Source organism: Homo sapiens, chromosome 8, assembly GCF_000001405.40.
Source record: "Homo sapiens chromosome 8, GRCh38.p14 Primary Assembly".
NCBI lineage: Eukaryota > Metazoa > Chordata > Mammalia > Primates > Hominidae > Homo > Homo sapiens.
Window position 1 is genome coordinate 75,694,772 of NC_000008.11, and position 1,629 is coordinate 75,696,400.

The window sequence follows — 1,629 nt, forward strand, 5'->3', positions numbered from 1 at the left end:
AATGCAACAATTTTGCATATATCTTTATGAAAGAAAACTGGATGTCAGAAAAGAAAGTGGATTGGCCTAATCTCCAAAACTACTAAGTGGCAGAGTCAGCATTTGCTACCATCTGCTCTATTGTATATTAGAACTCACATTCATCAAGAAGTGGTATTGGGCCAGGCACTGTGGCTCACACCTGTAATCCTAGCACTTTGGAAGACCGAGGTGGGTAGATTGCCTGAGCTCAGGAGTTCAAGACAAGTCTGGACAACATGGTGAAACCCTGTCTCTAAAATTATCTGGGTGTAATGGCATGTGCCTGTAATCCCAGCTACTCGGGGGCTGAGGCACAAGAATCACCAAGAATCACTTGATCCCGGGAAGTGGAGGCTGCAGTGAGCTGAGATGGTGCCACTGCACTCCAGCCCAAGTGGCAGAGCTAGACTTAGTCTCAAACAAACAAGCAAAAAAAAACAGAAGTGATATTGTGCTGGTGATTCTGTCTCCCCTTCTTGGACCTCTAAGTTCTGTCTTCACTCTTCCCTAGTGTGTGTTGTTCCCTGGGAGTATGACACCTTTTTTACATCACCAGTTTTTATTACCTCCTGGATTGTGGTTATTTTCAGCTAACAGGAGGTACCAGCAAGAGATGAGAGCGGGAGAGGGTCTAGGGAGAGGCCGAGTACTTTTCCTCTGCCCCCTCCTGCCTGGGCTGCAGATTCTGGTATTGACTCTCCCTCCGTGACTGCAGGGCTGCAGCGCCTCCTAAGTAGCCTGTCCTCCATGCCTCCCATTCCCATGGGGCTCCAGTAACTCTTTCCTCCCCTTGCTTTTTCAGGTCTAGGCTGGCTTAACAGCTCTTCTTTGTTCTCCTACACTCAACCACATCTCTGTTAATAGGTCCTTCTTTAAAGTCTCTTTGATTGTCTGATTTGGATTCTCTTTTCTACCAGGATGCTGGTAATCCCTGTGCACCGTGACCATAAATGGACCAAGAAATGAACAATAGATAAAACAATCATTTTAAAAATAAGTAGTCATTTTGATTCAGGTTGAAAATTTATATTCCATTGTTTAAGTCTATTTTTCATTCATGTTTGTTAATTTTATTGTGTATTTTCCTAAATATAAATTAAACTGAAATGCACACTTCTACTTACTCTTTTAAGATGGAAGGAAGGGGTGTGTTTTTTAAAAATTATTTTCCATGAATTAAACAAAAAACATTCCTGGAATTATTATTTCTTTTGAAACATTGAAGTACTTCTGGTACATAGTAACTTTTGCCCTATTTATTTAAATATCAGTGAGGTTGTTGAAAAGTCTTGGGGCAATGATAAGATATTTGAATTAAATATAGATTTGGGGTTCTGAATCTGCCGAGTTGTGTGCTAAAAACACGAACGGACCGATCTCAACAAACTGGAATGATGGTCATTTCATTGAGTTGGTTGCCACTTGTTTATTTTGTAGACAAATGATTTGACTTTTTTTAAACCCAAGTCTAAATAAGTGACTTTAATCTTATCAGGATTGGATGACTTAGTCAGTATTTGCTTCAAATGCAATAAAAAATTTTTGCCGTTGCTACTTGCTTTTCTTCTGGGTTTTGTAGCACAACAAACCAAGCTGTATTCTAAGTGT

The 1,629-nt window shown here is 40.3% G+C and overlaps 1 annotated feature.

Annotated features, from left to right (window-relative positions):
- Positions 670-1,171: an enhancer, noted in NCBI's record as "NANOG hESC enhancer chr8:76607676-76608177 (GRCh37/hg19 assembly coordinates)". NCBI's record gives its function as "activates a minimal SCP1, AML or CMV promoter by ChIP-STARR-seq in primed H9 embryonic stem cells {active_cell/tissue: H9 hESC(primed)}" and the evidence as "EXISTENCE:reporter gene assay evidence [ECO:0000049][PMID:30033119]".